This window comes from Homo sapiens, chromosome 6 (assembly GCF_000001405.40).
Source record: "Homo sapiens chromosome 6, GRCh38.p14 Primary Assembly".
NCBI lineage: Eukaryota > Metazoa > Chordata > Mammalia > Primates > Hominidae > Homo > Homo sapiens.
In genome coordinates, this window is record NC_000006.12 from 11290443 (window position 1) to 11307768 (window position 17326).

The 17326-nt window shown below is 41.6% G+C and overlaps 1 protein-coding gene and 1 long non-coding RNA gene across 8 annotated transcripts in view, besides 1 other annotated feature; one reads left to right on the forward strand and one right to left on the reverse strand.

The window, feature by feature from the left end:
- The window catches only part of NEDD9 (neural precursor cell expressed, developmentally down-regulated 9), a 199051-nt gene that overhangs the window by 107145 nt on the left and 74580 nt on the right, over positions 1-17326 (reverse strand). The window contains exons 2-3 of one of the 2 annotated variants that reach the window (NR_073131.1): positions 15550-15713; positions 14624-14717 (exon numbers count right to left, since the gene is read on the reverse strand). Coding sequence is in view for 1 of the 2 variants with exons in the window: in NM_001142393.2 (NP_001135865.1) it covers positions 15550-15561 (12 nt within the window). In the remaining variant the exon portion in view is untranslated. The remainder of the gene's footprint in view (positions 1-14623; positions 14718-15549; positions 15714-17326) is intronic. The other variant, NM_001142393.2, reaches the window with a different exon arrangement.
- The window catches only part of LOC105374925 (uncharacterized), a 44069-nt gene continuing 28022 nt past the window's right edge, over positions 1280-17326 (forward strand). For 2 of the 6 annotated variants that reach the window (XR_001743967.2, XR_926470.3), the window contains exons 1-4: positions 1280-8571; positions 14856-15003; positions 15106-15237; positions 15573-15740. This is a non-coding gene — a long non-coding RNA (uncharacterized LOC105374925). Of the gene's footprint in view, positions 8572-14828; positions 15004-15105; positions 15238-15572; positions 15741-17326 lie in introns of those variants that run through there. The other 4 variants (XR_007059446.1, XR_007059447.1, XR_007059448.1 and 1 more) reach the window with 4 other exon arrangements.
- Positions 8147-8904: an enhancer, noted in NCBI's record as "H3K27ac-H3K4me1 hESC enhancer chr6:11298822-11299579 (GRCh37/hg19 assembly coordinates)". NCBI's record gives its function as "activates a minimal SCP1, AML or CMV promoter by ChIP-STARR-seq in primed H9 embryonic stem cells {active_cell/tissue: H9 hESC(primed)}" and the evidence as "EXISTENCE:reporter gene assay evidence [ECO:0000049][PMID:30033119]".

A 17326-nucleotide genomic window follows, 5' to 3' on the forward strand; every position in this document is an offset into this window, starting at 1 on the left:
AAGTAATTTTATATCCCTTAGGAGCCAAGAAGCATTTCCCATAATTACGGTTGGCTACTGGCACTTGCTCCTTGAGGTATTCATCTGTGCAGCTCCCAGACCAAGAGGCATTGCCCTGGAACTGCGGGTTTTGCAGCAGAGTGGTCGTCCTCCTCCTCACCGTGGAGTCCTGCGTAGAAGAGCAGGAAACAAAGCTCCAGCTGTACCTCGAGACCAAATGAGCCCTTTTATCCATTAATTGGAATTAATAAGGGTGGGCAAGAGGCCCCTGGGTGAACACTGCGCTGGGCTGTCACTGACTAGCTGTGGGTAACATGTCTTCCGAGTCTCAGTCGCCTCAACTGCAAAACCTTAAAAAGGGATTGAAAGAAAGGGGCAGCTAACATCTCTCCGAGGCAGGCACTGTCAGCAGCTGTGCTCATCTCTACATCTCCCTGCTTTCTTCGGATTTAGGTTGATGATGCGATTGAGTGCTAGACGGTAGAGTGCCAGTGGAAGTGATGTACTCTGCTTTCTAGCCTGCTCCCTAACATGTCCCACACACTCCCTCTTGAAGAAGACGGAGTGTTTCACATGCTGGAAGTGAAAGGCCCCGAGATACTGGAGCCCATGATGGAAGAGACCCAGATCCCCGAGGACAGCTGTCCAGGAGAGTCCCTGACTGGACCACGAGTGAGAACAGTGTGTTGTGCTGAGCCACTGAGCTTGTACGATTTCCTTGCTACTGCGGTTCACTGCAGCACTATCCTCGTGAAGGTGCTCTACTGGGTCCAAAATTCTGTGTATCTAGGGAATGGCAGAGCACAGGGCAGAAATAGAATGAGGTTTTTTTTTTTTTTTTTTTTTTTTTGAGACGGAGTCTCGCTCTGTCGCCCAGGCTGGAGTGCAGTGGCACAATCTCTGCTCACTGCAAGCTCCGCCTCCCGGGTTCACGCCATTCTCCTGCCTCAGCCTCCCCAGTAGCTGGGACTACAGGCACCTGCCACCAAGCCCAGCTAATTTTTTGTATTTTTAGTAGAGACGGGGTTTCACCGTAGTAGCCAGGATGGTCTTGATCTCCTGACCTCGTGATCAACCTGCCTCGGGCTCCCAAAGTGCTGGGATTACAGGCGTGAGCCACCGCGCCCGGCCAGAATGAGATTTTTAACACGAGCAGGAAGCACTCCATGTAAACCTACTGTTTAATTGGATATTGTACTCAAAGGTGCTTCTCTAAATGAGCCAGTGAAAACCCAAGTGGGCGTTGGATAATACTTAACAGATAGGGTTGCATAGTTTCAGTGTAACGGTGCCTCTGTGGGTTACAGCACCATGGTCAAAACTGGAAAAATAGTTTCTTAGAAACGAATAAAGGCAAACTATGGGAAAATGGTCATGGAAGGCTCTCTCACTAAGAAGAAGAAAACTCAGAATGTCTTGTTATTAGCAACATAGATCTCCAACTAAAGGGCTTACTCATCCCTGCACTTGTGATGTCTGCATGGAGATGGTGAGTACAGGGTCACCTTTGAGTTCTCTGTCATTGTCATATTTTTGCTGTGCTGCTTCCAGAATCTTTTTCATCATGTAATCAGAGATAGTGATTAGGTCTGGGTGGTTATTGATCATTTGGGGAAAATAGACTTACTTTAATCCTTCTTCAGAATGGATTCCCACAGATAAGGTTTTCATCTGGACTTATTTTTACTGAGTGAAAGTGCCATTTTCAAGAAACCCCCAAAGCTTTATATTTTAGAATAAGTGAGGCCCATCTATGGGAAAAGAAAGCCACAGAAGACACTGAAAAACCACATGACCCGGTGTTAAATCAAGAAAAGCGTCTGGTAGGCATGGGAAAGCCTGTTTAAGCTTCGAGGTCACTTTCTGCATCTCAGCTCCTGTTTATTTTCTGGACCTTGGTCAGCGTCTTCTTGACAGTGTAATTTCTGCAATGCAGCTGGACTTTGTGACCCATAATCAAACCCAGAAAGCCTTCAGCAATCCCATCTGGGTGAGGGGCTCCATTTTGTTTGGTTGAAATGAAAAAGTTAAACCTCCATCCAGACATGCCTCTTTGCAGGCCCAATGACTCTTCCACCAGCAGGACACTTCGTCTTTGAATAGGCTTCTCATTTTCCAGACAAGCTCAGGGGATCTGCATCCTCCAGTAAAATTTCTGTCTGCACAAAATTGCCTTTTAGTGGTGATTTATAACTCAATAAAATGACATCTCAAAAAGGAGAATTGGTTTGAGTCTATAACTGATGTGATTTATGCATGTTTTAGTTTTGGAATACACAGAATTTATGCAATGGAGAGAGGTCTCTGTGATGTGATGTGCAGATGTACATCCACAGAACTCATGACAAGGAGGGAGGTGCAAATGTCCTCAGGCATCCTCTAAGCACAGACCTCCCTGGGTTCTAATACAAAGAATATTCTTACTGAGCTCAGCCTCAAGCAGAGGGCTTCATGATTTTCTGGGTATCAGAAACATCCATGGAACTTGCTAAAATTATACATTCCTGGGCTCCACCCTAGAACCCATGAACTAGATTCATTAAGAATGGGGTGGGGTCCAGGGATCTGTAGTTTAACAATCTCTACAGGTGGTTCCAGTCACATACTTGAGAAACCACTCCAAGTTGAGAAACACTTGTAGTTTGTAATCATTCACTGCCAATGAACTATTTGCTGTAAAAAGGGGAAGGGAACAAATGCTTTTTAAATGCCTTCTTTGTGTCAAGCATTGTTGCTAGACAATCTAAGTCTATGTTTTTTTTTTTGTTTAAATCTTGCAACAGTCCAATAAGATGGGTATTATTATATTCATTTTGCACAGGAGAAATTGGAGGTTCAGAGAGGTTAAGAAATATTAGCAAACAGCAAGATAGAGATTTGAACCCAGACCTTTCTGGCGCCACAGTGCACTTTTCCACTAACCCATGTTAGCAGCCCAGGATTGGGCCAAATATTTTCGAGTTTTTAATATGTTACCCTTAGATCTACTGAGAGACATTGTGAGAAATTTCTTTGTTTTCTATCCCCCCCTCTCAGCTTTATCGAAGCATATTTGACAAATAAAAATTGTATATAGTTACAGTGTACAACATGATGCTTTGATATACATATACATTGTGAAATAATTACCACAACCAAGCTAATTGAAATATCTGTCACCTCACACCATGACCGTCTATGTGTGTGTGTGTGCGTGTTGAGAATATTTAAGATCTACTGTGGTAGCAAGTTTCAAGTATATATTAAATACAGTATTTTTAACCATGTCACCATGTTATTTATTAGATTCCCAAAACTTGTTCATCTTGTAACTGAAAATGTGTACTCTTTGACCAACATCTTTCCAATCCTCCCAGTCCCCCAACCCCTGGTAAGCACAGTTCTACTTTCTGCTTCTATGAGTCTGTCTTTTTTAGATGCCATATATAAAGTGAGATCATGTAGTATTTGTCTTTCTGTGCCTGGCTTATTTCACTCAGCATAATGTCCTCCAGGTTCATCCACATTGTCACAAATGACAGGACTTCCTTCTTCTTCAAGGCTGAATAGAATTCCATTGTGTAAGTGTGTGTGTGTGTGTATGTGTGTATGTGTGTGTGTGTATCACATTTTCTTTATCTGCTCATGTATTAGTAGAATCAACACTTAGGTTGATTCTATATCCTGGCTATTGTGAATAATGTTGTAATGAACATGGAGGTGCATAGAACTCTTTGAGGTACTGATTTCATTTCCTTTGGATATATACCCAGAAGTGGAGTTACTGCTACATATGATAATTGTATTTTTAAATTTTGAGGAACCTGCATGCTGTGTTCCATAACGACTATACCAGCTAATATGGTTTGGCTCTATGTCTCTACCCAAATCTCATGTTGAATTGTGATCTTCAGTGTTGGGGGAGGGGTCTGGTGGGAAATGTTGGATCATGGGGGTGGATTTCCCTTTTGCTGTTCTCGTGATAGTGAGTAAGTTCTCATGAGATCTGGTTGTTTGAGAGTGTGTAGCACTTCCCCCTTTGCTCTCTCCCTCTCCTGTTCCAGCCATATAGGATGTGCTGGCTTCCCTTTTGTCTTCTGCCATGATTCTAAGTTTCCTGAGGCCTCTGCAGCCATGTTTCCTGTACCGCCTGCAGAACTGTGAGCCCATCAAACCTCTTTTCTTTATAAATTACCCAGTCTTAGGTAGTTCTTTATAGCAATGTAAGAACGAACTAATATATCAGTTTACATTCCTACCAACAGTATACGTGGGTTCCCTTTTCCCATATCCTCACAACACTTATTAGTGTTTTTGATGATAGCCAACTGGGGTAAGATGATATCTCATTATGGTTTTGATCTGTATATCCCTGATGATTAGTGATACGGTTTGGCTGTGTCCCCACCCAAACCTCATCTTGAATTGTATCTCCCATAATTCCCACATGTTGTGAGAGGAATCTGGTGGGAGGTAATTGAATCATGGGGACGGGTCTTTCCCGTGCTGTTCTTATGGCAGTGAGTAAGTCTCACAAGATCTGATGGTTTTGTAAAGGGCAGTTCCACTACACAAGCTCTCTTGCCTGCTGCCATGAAAGACGTGCCTTTGCTCCTCCTTTGCCTTCTGCATTGACTGTGAGGCCTCCCCGGCCATGTGGAATGGTGAGTCCATTAAACCTCTTTTTCTATATAAATTACCCAGTCTTGGGTAGGTCTTTATTAGCAGTGTGAGAACAGACTAATACAATTAGTGATATTGCACACCTTTGTATGTACCTCTTGGCCATTTGTATGTCTTCTTTTGACAAATGTCTTTTCAGGTTCTCTGCCCATTTATTTAGCCAGATTATGTTTTATTGTTATTATTGTATGAGTGCGTTTTATTTTTCTGACTGTTAACCCATTATCAGATGGATGGTTTGCAAATATTTTCTCCCATTCTGTAGGGTGCGAGATATTTCTTAAGAAGATAATGGTAAGTCCTTCCACTCACTTGAGGAAAGTAAATTTCAGATTTGTAGTGGACACTGGGGTCCATGACCTGACACCCCACTTCAGGCTTAGTCAATCATTCTGTCAGCTATGGAAGGGTTGGCACCTAGCAGCTTGCTTCAGAGTCCCCTCTTGAGATTGTCCCCAGCTGAGGCACAGCACACCTCCTCCCTCGGGTGGCCTGTTTACAGTGACTGTCTAGGAAGGGGCATAAACTTCCAACTACCTTGCCTCAGTTCAGACAACATGGAAGGACATCCCAGCTTTGGAGGGCCTCTGTGACTTGCTGGGGTCTTTATCCTGATTTCAGCTTCCTCCTCTGCCTAATCCTGCTTCCTCTCTTGCCTTGACAGTTTCCCAGGAGCACTCTCCACAAACTTCCAGCATGCCAATCTCCATCTCAAAATTTGCTTCTCTGGGAATGCAACCTGTGGTGTTGCTCAATCAAACTGTTCCTGTAGACACATTACACCCACGTTAGGTGTGTGATGGACTGAATTGTGACCCCCACCCCAAATTCATGTTGAAACTTTAACACCAAGGAACTCCAAATGTGACTGTGTTTAGAGATAGGGTCTTCACAGAAGTAATTAAGTTAAAATGAGGTCACATGGGTGGGCCCTAATCCAATATGACAGGAGTCCTTATAAGAAGAGGAGATGAGGACACAGCCACCCACAGAGGGAAGACCACACAGGGAGAAGATGAAGGTCTACAAGTCAAGGAGAGAGGCTTCAGGAGAAATCAACCCTGCAGACACCTTATCTTGGACTTCCAGCCTCCAGAACTGTGAGAGAATAAATTTCTGTTGTTTAAGCCCCCACTCTGTGATACCTTGTCATGGCAGCCCAAGCAGATACAATAGGCGGATTTAGAGGTTCTTCGTTTTGATCCTGATTCTTTCACTTTTATACTTAAGGAACAACTCAGAAATCTGAACAGGTTAAATTCTCTTTTAAGTATAATGAAGCAGGATGGTAATTCTCACTACATAGTGTTTTCATATTCCCTACAATAGGTCAGGATAATCATGTTTTTAGAGAGGTGATAAAGAATATGCATTACCTCTCTTCATCACATCTCTCTGTTTACAGCATTTACTACAAACCTGAGGCAGATGTAAATACACGGTGTGGATAAGTACCTTGGAACTGCAGTGAACTTGCATTTAGTGGGAAAGAATGGCAAAATTTCCTTCCTTCCTTTCTTTCTTCCTTCCTTCCTTCCTTTCCTTCCTTCCTTTCCTTTCCTTTCCTTTCCTTTCCCTTCCTTCCTTCCTTCCTTCCTTCCTTCCTTCCTTCCTTCCTTTCTTTTCTTTCTTTCTCTTTTTTGAGACAAAGTCTTGCTCTATCACCCATGCTGGAGTGCAGTAGCGTGATCTGAGCTCACTGCAACCTTCACCTCCTGGGTTCAAGCAATTCTCCTGCCTCAGCCTCCGGAGTAGCTGGGATTACAGGTGCACATCACCATGCCCGGCTAATTTTTGTATTTTTAGTAGAGACATGGTTTCGCCATCTTGCCCAGGCTAGTCTTGAACTCCTGACCTCAGGCGGTCCACCCACCTCGGCCTCCCAAAGTGCTGGTATTATAGGCGTGAGCCACCACGCCCAGCCGATTTGGCTTTTTTTCTTTAGATAAACTATAACATGCCATGCCTGGCTGCAGGCTTCCTGCCCTAATGCAAAGGTGAAAAAGCTTTGCAGTTTAATTTGTTTTGTTTTTTTTTTTTTTTGGTTTTCATTTTTTTCTGAGCCAGCCCCTTTATTCTTTATTGTCTTCAGTGGAGCAATGGTAAATGTTTAACTACCAGCTCTTTGAAAATGAAATAAAACAGAACCATCCTGGGAAAAGAATGCTGCAGGGTGCCAGCCTCTCTGCAGCCAGGGACAGCTCTCCAGGTGTGAGGAGACCTCTCCGCCTTCCTCCTCACACTGATATTAGTGCAGTTCCCTCAGGGCTTGCTTTTATTTGCTGAGGCTTCTTGTAAGGGGTTTACTTTTAAGAGTATTTATGAGTTTAGCACAGGCTTCCCCAGTGAATTTTTCTGTCCATGCCTTCACTCATGGTGTCTTCATTGTCACCTCTGGAACCAGAAAAATCACAGCTTAAGGAAGTTCAGGTGAGTGACCAAGTCTAGCCCCATCCAGATTCCCAAGGCTCATTCTCCCACCAGGCCTTTCATTATGCTCTGTGTCTCTCATCTTCTCCCTTCAATGATTTCTTTTAGCTGCACTGACTTGACTTTTTATGTGCTATAAAACTCAGGAAGCTTCTTTTGAGGGCTTAGTACGTGCCAAACACAATTCTAAGCAACATGCATGTTTAATCATCACAAACCCTTTGAGGTCGGTACTATTCTCATTCTCATATTGTAGATGAAGAAACTGAGGCACAAAGAGGGTTAATAACTTGTTCAAGGCCCTATTACTCAATAGAGGCAAGACTGGGATTCAAACTAGGCAGTATGGCTTCTAGTCCGTATTTTTTTTTCTTTTCTTTTTTTTTTTTTGGAGACAGAGTCTCGCTTTGTCGCCTAGGTTGGAGTGCAGTGGTGCAATCACAGCTCACTGCAACCTCTGCCTCTGGGGTTCAAGCAATTCTCATGCCTCAGCCTTCTGAATAGCTGTTACTATAGGTGCGCACCACTACACCCAGCTAATTTTTCTATTTTTAGTAGAGATGGGGTTTCACTCTGTTGGTCAGGCTGCTCTCGAACTCCTGACCTCAACTTATCTGCCCGCCTTGACCTCCCAAAGTGCTGGGATTACAGGCATGAGCCACTGCACCCAGCCCCAGTCCATATTTTTAACCAGCATCCTACCTGAAAAAGAGCAGTAGGAATATATGTATGCGTAGTGTGAAGTGATGTGTGTGTGTGAGTGTGTGTATCTGTGTGTATGAAAAGTTAAAATAAAGTTTAATAATGGGGGAAAAAATCACCCAGAAGTCATGAAATTAAAGACCTCAAAGGCCCTTTTGACTCAACATAGATAATTCTAAAGCAAATTAAAAAATTGAGGTGGTGAAATTATATGGTTTTTAGGTTTAGAATTCCAAAAGTTGAGAATCAGCATGTATTGGAAATACCATAGAACTAATGTTAATTGCAGAGTTACAGCTGGAATGAAATACTGACTTGCTTCAGGGAATGTTTTATCTCCCTGTATCTCTCTGTTTTTGTCTCAGTTTAGTAATGTTGGCTGAGTAGGTATAAAAAATGAGAAGAGAGACATTTTTTGTTTCACTATTCATAGAGAAATTGGTATTTATATTGAATGGATTGAGAATTCACAAATAAATATAGTTTGTTCCAGTTTGGATTACTAATTTGGTTTGGTGGAAGCCTCTGAAGTATCCAGTTCTGTGACAGACTTTTGCCATAGAATCTAGTACTAGCGAGGATTGTTAAGAGGTCATTACCTTGACCTTAAAACATCACAGTAAGCGGGCTATTGTCCAAGATGGACGAATAGGAACAGCTCCAGTCTGCAGCTCCCAGCAAGATTGATGCAGAAGATGGGTGATTTCTGCATTTCCAACTGAGGCACCTGATTCATCTCACTGGGACCGGTTGGACAGTGGATGCAGCCCATGGAGGGTGAGCTGAAGCAGGGTGGGGCATTGCCTCATCAGGGAAATGCAAGGGGTTGGGGTATTTCCCTTTCCTAGCCAAGGGAAGCCATGACAGACTGTACCTGGAGAAACAGTACACTCCTGACCAAATACTGTGCTTTTCCCACAGTCTTAGCAACCAGCAGACAAGAAGATACCCTCCTGTGCCGGCTCAGTGGGTCCCACGCCCACAGAGCCTTGCTCACTGCTAGCGCTGCAGTCTGAGATCGACCTGCAACGCTGCAGCTTGAGGGGGGGAGGGGCATCTGCCATTGCTGAGGCTTGAGTAAACAAAGTGTCACAGTGAAAACAAAGAGGCCAGGAAGTACAAACTGGGCAGAGCCCACCACAGCTCAGTAAGGCCTACTACTTCTACAGATTCCACCTCTGGGGTCAGGGCATAGGAGAACAAAAGGCAGCAGACAGCTTCTGCAGACTTAAACGTCCCTGTCTGACAACTCTGAAGAGAGCAGCGGTTCTCTCAGCATGGCATTTGAGCTCCAAGAACGGACAGACTGCCTCCTCAAGTGGGTCCTTGACCCCTGTGTAGCCTGACTGGGAAACACTTCCCAGTAGGGGCCAACAGACACCTCAAACAGGTGAGTGCCCCCCTGGGACGAAGCTTCCAGAGGAAGGATCAGGCAGCAATATTTGCTGTTCTGCAGCCTCCGCTGGTGATACCCAGGCAAACAGGGTCTGGATTAGACCTCCAGCAAACTCCAACAGACCTGAAGCTGAGGGGTCTGTAAGAAGGAAAACTAACAAACGGAAAGGAATAGCATCAACATCAACAAAAAGGACATCCACACCGAAACTCCATCTGTAGGTCACCAATGTCAAAGTCCAAAGGTAGATAAAACCACAAAGATGGGGAGAAACCAGAGCAGAAAAGCTGAAAATTCCAAAAAAACAGAGTGCCTCTTCTCCTCCAAAGGATTGCAGCCCCTCACCAGCAAAGGAACAAAACGGGACAGAGAATGAGTTTGATGAGTTGACAGAAGTTGGCTTCAGAAGGTCTGTGATAACAAACTTCTCTGAGCTAAAGGAGCATGTTCTAACCCATTGCAAGGAAGCTAAAAACCTTGAAAAAAGATTAGATGAATGGCTAACTAGAATAAACAGTGTAGAGAAGACCTTAAATGACCTGATGGAGCTGAAAACCACGGCATGAGAACTTCATGACTCATGCACAAGATTCAATAGCCTATTCGATCAAGTGGAAGAAAGGATATCAGTGATTGAAGATCAAATTAATGAAATAAAGCAAGAAGAGAAGTTTAGAGAAAAAAAGAGTAAAAGGAAATGAACAAAGCCTCCAGGAAATATAAGACTATAAGAAAAGACCAAATCTACGTTTGATTGGTGTACCTGAAAGTGACGGGAAGAATGGAATCAAGTTGGAAAACACTCTTCAGGATATTATCCTGGAAAACTTCCTCAACCTAGCAAGGCAGGCCAACATTCAAATTCAGGAAATACAGAGAACACCACAAAGATACTCCTCAAGAAGAGTAACCCCAAGACACATAATTGTCAGATTCACCAAGGTTGAAATGAAAGAAAAAATGTTAAGGGCAGCCAGAGAGAAAGGTCGGGTTACCCACAAAGGGAAGCCCATCAGACTAACAGCGGATCTGTTGGCAGAAACCCTACAAGCCAGAAGAGAGTGGGGGCCAATATTCAACATTCTTAAAGAAAAGAATTTTCAACCCAGAATCTCATATCCAGCCAAACTAAGCTTCATAAGTGAAGGAGAAATAAAATCCTTTATAGACAAGCAAATGCTGAGAGATTTTGTCACTACCAGGCCTGCCTTATAAGAAGAGCTCCTGAAGGAAGCACTAAGCATGGAAAGGAATAACTGGTACTAGCCACTGCAAAAACATGCCAAATTGTAAAGACCATTGATGCTATGAAGAAACTGCATCAATTAACAGGCAAAATAATGAGCTAACATCAAAATGACAGGATCAAATTCACACATAACAATATTAATCTTAAGTGAAAATGGGCTAAATGCCCCAGTTAAAAGTCACGGACTGGCAAATTGGATAAAGAGTCAAGACCCATGGGTGTGCTGTATTCAGGAGACCCATTTCATGTGCAAAGACGCACATAGGCTCAAAATAAAGGGATGGAGGAAGATCTACCAAACAAATGGAAAGCAAAAAAAAGCAGGGGTTACAATCCTAGTCTCTGATAAAACAGACTTTAAACCAACAAAGATCAAAAGAGACAAAGAAGGCCACCACATAATGGTAAGGGGATCAATTCACCAAGAAGAGCTAACTATCCTAAATATATATGCACCCAATACAGGAGCAACCAGATTCATAAAGCAAGTCCTTAGAGATCTACAAAGAGACTTAGACTCCCACACAATAATAATGGGAGACTTTAAAACCCCACTGTCAGTATTAGACAGATCAATGAGACAGAAGGTTAACAAGGATATCGAGGGCTTGAACTCAGCTCTGCACCAAGTAGACCTAATAGACATCTACAGAACTCTCCACCCCAAATCAACAGAATATACATTCTTCTCAGCACCACATTGCACTTATTCTAAAATTGACCACTTAGTTGGAAGTAAAGCACTCCTCAGCAAATGTAAAAGAACAGAAACCACAACAAACTCTCCCTGACTACAGTGCAATCAAATTAGAACTCAGGATTAATAAACCCACTCAAAACCACACAACTACATGGAAACTGAACAACATGCTCCTGAATGACTACTGGGTAAGTAACGAAATGAAGGCAGAAATAAAGATGTTCTTTGAAACCAATGAGAAAAAAGATGCAACACACCAGAATCTCTGGGATACATTTAGAGCAGTGTGTAGAGGGAAATTTATAGCACTAAATGCATACAAGAGAAAGCAGGAAAGATCTAAAATCGACACTCTAACATCACAATTAAAAGAACTAGAGAAGCAAGAGCAAACAAATTCAACAGCTAGCAGAAGGCAAGAAATAACAAAGATCAGAGCAGAACTGAAGGAGAGAGAGACACAAAAAACCCTTCAAAAAATCAATGAATCCAGGAGCTGTTTTTTTAAAAAGATCAACAAAATAGATAGACTGCTAGCAAGACCAATAAAAAAGAAAAGAGAGAAGAATCAAATAGATGCAATAAAAAATGATAAAGGGGATATCACCACTGATCCCACAGAAATGCAAACTACCATCAGAGAATACTATAAACACCTCTATGCAAATAAACTAGAAAATCTAGAAGAAATGGATAAATTCCTGGACACATACACTCTCTCAAGACTAAACCAGGAAGAAATTGAATCTCTGGATTGACCAATAACAGGCTCTGAAATTGAGGCAATAATTAATAGCCTACCAACCAAAAAAAGTCCAGGACCAGACAGATTCACAGCTGAATTCTACCAGAGGTACAAAGAGGAGCTGGTACCATTCCTTCTGAAACTATTTCAATCAATAGAAAAAAGGGGAATCCTCCCTAACTCATTTTATGAGGCTAGAATCATCCTGATACCAAAGCCTGGTAGAGACACAACAAAAAAAGATAATTTTAGGCCATATCCCTGATGAACATTGATGCAAAAATCCTCAATAAAATACTGGCAAACCGAATCCAGCAGCACATCAAAAAGCTTATCCACCACGATCACATTGGCTACATCCCTGGGATGCAAGGCTGGTTCAACATACACAAATCTGTAAATGTAATCCATCACATAAACAGAACCAATGACAAAAACCACATGATCATCTCAATAGATGCAGAAAAGGCCTTCGATAAAATTCAACAGCGCTTCATGCTAAAAACTCTCAATAAAATAGGTATTGGTGGAACGTATCTCAAAATAATAAGAGCTATTTATGACAAACCCACAGCCAATATCATACTGAATGGACAAAAGCTGGAAGCATTCCCTTTGAAAACCGGCACAAGACAGGGATGCCCTCTCTCACCACTCCTATTCAACATAGTGTTGGAAGTTCTGGCTAGGGAAATCAGGTAAGAGAAAGAAATAAAGGGTATTCAATTAGGAAAGGAGGAAGTCAAATTGTCCCTGCTTGCAGATGACATGATTGTATATTTAGAAAACCCCATTGTCTCAGCCCAAAATCTCCTTAAGCTAATAAGCAACTTCAGCAAAGTTTCAGGATACAAAATCAATGTGCAAAAATCACAAGCATTCCTATACACCAATAATAGACAAACAGAGAGCCAAATCATTAGTGAACTCCCATTCACAATTACTACAAAAAGAATAAAATACCTGGGAATCCAACTTACAAGGGACGTGAAGGAACTCTTCAAGGAGAACTACAAACCACTGCTCAATGAAATAAAAGAGGACACAAACAAATGGAAGAACATTCCATGTTCATGGATAGGAAGAATCAATATTATGAAAACGTCCATACTTTCCAAGGTAATTTATAGATTCAGTGTCATCGCCATCAAGCTACCTGACTTTCTTTACGTAATTGGAAAAAACTACTTAAAAGAACAAAGCTGGAGGCATCCCGCTACCTGACTTCAAACTATACTACAAGCTAGAGTAACCAAAACAGCATGGTACTGGTACCAAAACAGATATATAGATCAATGGAACAGAACAGAGGCCTCAGAAATAACATCACACATCTACAACCATCTGAACTTTGGCAAACCTGAAAAAAACAAGCAATATTGAAAGGGTTCCCTATCTAATAAATGGTGCTGGGAAAACTGGCTAGCCATATGTAGAAAGCTGAAACTGGATCCCTTCTTTACACCGTATATAAAAATTAACTAGAAGCATTAAATACTTAAATGTAAGACCTAACACTGTAAAAATCCTAAAAGAAAACCTAGGCAATACCATTCAGGACATAGACATGGGCAAGGACTTCATGACTAAAATACCAAAAGCAATGGCAACAAAAGCCAAAATAGACAAATGGGATCTAATTAAACTAAAGAGCTTCTGCACAGCAAAAGAAACTACCATCAGAGTGAACAGGCAGCCTACAGAATGGGAGAAAATCTTTGCAGTCTACCCATCTGAAAAAGGGCTAATATTCAGAATCTACAAAGAACTTAAACAAATTTACAAGAAATAAACAAACAACCCCATCAAAAAGTGGGCAAAGGATATGAACAGACACTTCTCAAAAGAAGACATTTATGCAGCCAACAGACATATGAAAAAATGCTCATCACTTGTCATCAGAGAAATGCATATCAAAACCACAAAGAGATACTATCTCACACCAGTTAGAATGGCCATCATTAAAAAGTCAGGAAACAACAGATGCTGGAGAGGATGTGGAGAAATAGGAAGGGTTTTACACTGTTGGTGGGAGTGTAAACTGGTTCAACCATTGTGGAAGACAATGTGGCGGTTCCTCAAGGATCTAGAACTAGAAATACCATTTGACCCAGCCATCCCATTACTGGGTATATACCCAAAGGATTATAAATCATGCTACTATAAGGACACATGCACACGTATGTTTATTGGGGCACTATTCACAATAGCAAAGACTTGGAACCAACCCAAATATCCATCAATGATAGACTGGATTGAGAAAATGTGGCACATATACACCATGGAATACTATGCAGTCATAAAAAAGGATGAGTTCATGTCCTTTGTAGGGACATGGATAAAGCTGGAAACCATCATTCTAAGCAAACTATCACAAGGACAGAAAACCAAACATTGCATGTTCTCACTCATAGGTGGGAGTTGAACAATGAGAACACATGGACACAGGGTGGGGAACCTCACACACCGGGGCCTGTCAGTGGGTGGGGGCCTGGGGGAGATATAGCATTAGGAGAAATACCTAATGTAAATGATGAATTGATGGGTGCAGCAAACCCACATGGCACATGTATACCTATGTAACAAACCTGCACGTTTTGCACATGTACCCTAGAACTTAAAATATAATTAAAAAAACCCACAGTGATATGACAATCAAACTTGTTTTTAATGCCTTCCAGGGAAATCCTTTTGTTACTTATCAAATTATTTAAAGAAAGCATTTCTTATTATATTTACCTTGGAACGTTTGCCCAGAAAGGAGATTGGGCTGTTCTTGGCTTGATACGGTGCCCAGAGCTTTTTTATTTGTGTGCAGTTGATGGTTGATTCTCTGAGATACAGAAAACAGTTGATCGATCTCAATAGATAAGGGAATTTACCTTTTTTCATTTTGAGCATGAGTTACTCTATGTGCATTTTCTCATTTCATCCTCTGAACAATCTTCCTGTCACCATTTTATAAACACAGAAACAGAGATTCAAAAGGGTCAGGTCACTGGCTCCAGGTCAACTCTACTACTAAACAGAAAAGCAAGGACCAAAATTCAGATCTTTGTGACCCTCAATGCCACTATGCCATGCGATGATGCCTGCCTCTTTTAGAGGCCAACTAATAGGTAAAATTACATATCATTTCTTCTACTGAATTTTCATAAAACCTTTAGGAAGCCTTGGTTAGATAGAAAAATTGATTATTTTCATCCTACACTCTACTCCAGGCCAACTTGATTTTCTTGAGGAATGGCCGAATGGAAGTTGAATGGTTGAAGGTGACTGGCAAACAGAGAAACAAGGCACCAAGAACTGGCTATTTCCAAACGTGGGCAATCAGCTTCTGAATGAATAGTTCAGTGAGTGTAACTTCCAGGCTTGCTCGGGCACCATTATGTTAAGTGGAATAATCTATCTGCATCCCAGAAGACTGCTTCCCCAGAGATTTCTGGATGGAATAGGATGCCCTGTGGGCATCAGTGCATCCATGTAAAAAATTCACCTAACAGCAAAATCTGGCAGTCTAAACTTAACAGTATTTTCCCCAAATGTTAGTTGCAGGCCCGTATGACAAAAAAACATGATTTGTATTATTATTGCAGAGAATTTAGGCTGAGCAAACTGGAAAAAGGGGAATCACAAATTGTCTGTTTTTTTCTATCAGTACTCACCCTTGTCCACATTTTGCCCCAAGGAATGATGCAGCTCTGGATGTTGGAAAGGACAATTCCGGCGTTTTACTCTTCTGACCAGTTTCTTCGTTTTCATAACTCTACTTGAAGAACATATGATGTTTGCCAGTGTCTGACATTACGGACCTCACAGCTTACTGAATCTGAAAACAGGAGATAGAGATGGAAAGGTTGGTAAGATCTGAAAAAAATTGAGATGCTTTTCATCATTTAAGGGTTGCATCATAGCAGCTGGAAAAGCCAAATCCATAGTCTTGTGAATGGAATCCATCATCCATTCATTCATGCAATCAAAGAAAGCATTTATGGGGTTCTTACTATGCTTTAGTTGGAACTTCAAAGACACATAAAATATAGTCCTGTCCTCAAGGATCCCACAGTCTCACTGAACAAACAAAAATACAGCACAATAAAATGTTACATCATTTCGGGTCAAATGTGCAGTGGGTCTGGTGAGGGCACAAAGGAAGGTCAATCTTGGGTGGAGTCTTGAGAGATGGGTAGACGTTTGCCAGATGTTTTGTATGGATAGTAGAGGTGAGAGTGAAATTTCCTTGCCTATAACCTACAGTTTTAGTCTTGTCATTGATTTCATTGATTGTTTTCTACTCTCCCATCCCTGAGGCCCCACCATCCCCCTTTATACCAACTTAATATGTTACCACTTTTATCATTTTGAAGCCACAAGATGTGCCTGACTCTACCTCTTACCAGCAGCTTGTGAAGGTCACTGGAGCCATATGCTTTTCTTGTTTCCAGAAAAGGAGAAAAACTAGTGTTTTGGAAATGTGGCTTTTAAATAGCTTAGATGCAAAGCCCAGAATTTGATTTTTTGGGAAAAACATGGACTGGGCTTTCGGTGAGTTAGTACTGGCCAATTTTTCACTCTCTTTCAATATCTTGCAGCTGTAAGGCTGTTTTGAGATGGTGTGTGTGTATGTATGTGTATGTATTTGTAGGCTATAGTTGGGGTATATATCCTTAGAAAAACCCTGATATTTAAACCACACGGGGCACGTGAATATCTTTTTGAGAATTGGTAATGTGAATCTTTGTAAAAGGACAGTGTTTTCCTATCAAGAATAAGTAAGAGGTTGTTTTAAAAGGGGAAGCAGAAAAATAAGAAGAGTGTCTGGCACATAATAGAAGCTCAGCAAAAAAATTAATGAACCTATGCAGCTGCCCTTAGGAGGAAGAGAAGTCCTCCTAGAACTCCTTTCCAAACAGGATAATTGGGAGTTGGTCTCCTTTCACTTCTACCAGGATGGGAACAGCCTCCTGTAATTTCAGTTTGATAAACGCAGTATTTATAGTCTTGGCTAAGAGGGGGGAAAAAGGAATTTTCCTCTGAGGCACTTGCAGTGGCTAGGCAAGGGGACACAGGCCCATGACTCATTTGCTCTGCCTGAACCCATGTGTGGTTACCCCAGTGTCTTGGCCCCACACAGGATGGAGAAACAAAAGGGAGATTTACTGCGTTTCCAGCGCCCTGTCTGTCTATTGCTTCTTTAGGTACTCACACCTTGAGGCATTTTAACTGCCCAAGGTGTCTGTGCTTATAAGACAACCTCTCAGAGCTGATTTGTCTATGGGGATACCATAAACTACAGTACCAGAAATTATATATATATATATACACACACACATGTCATTAATTCTTTACTGGGAAATATAACACACATATAGAAAACTGTATAAAATAAATGTATAGCTTAATAAATTGTTATAAATTTAACTGCCACCCAGGTCAAGACAT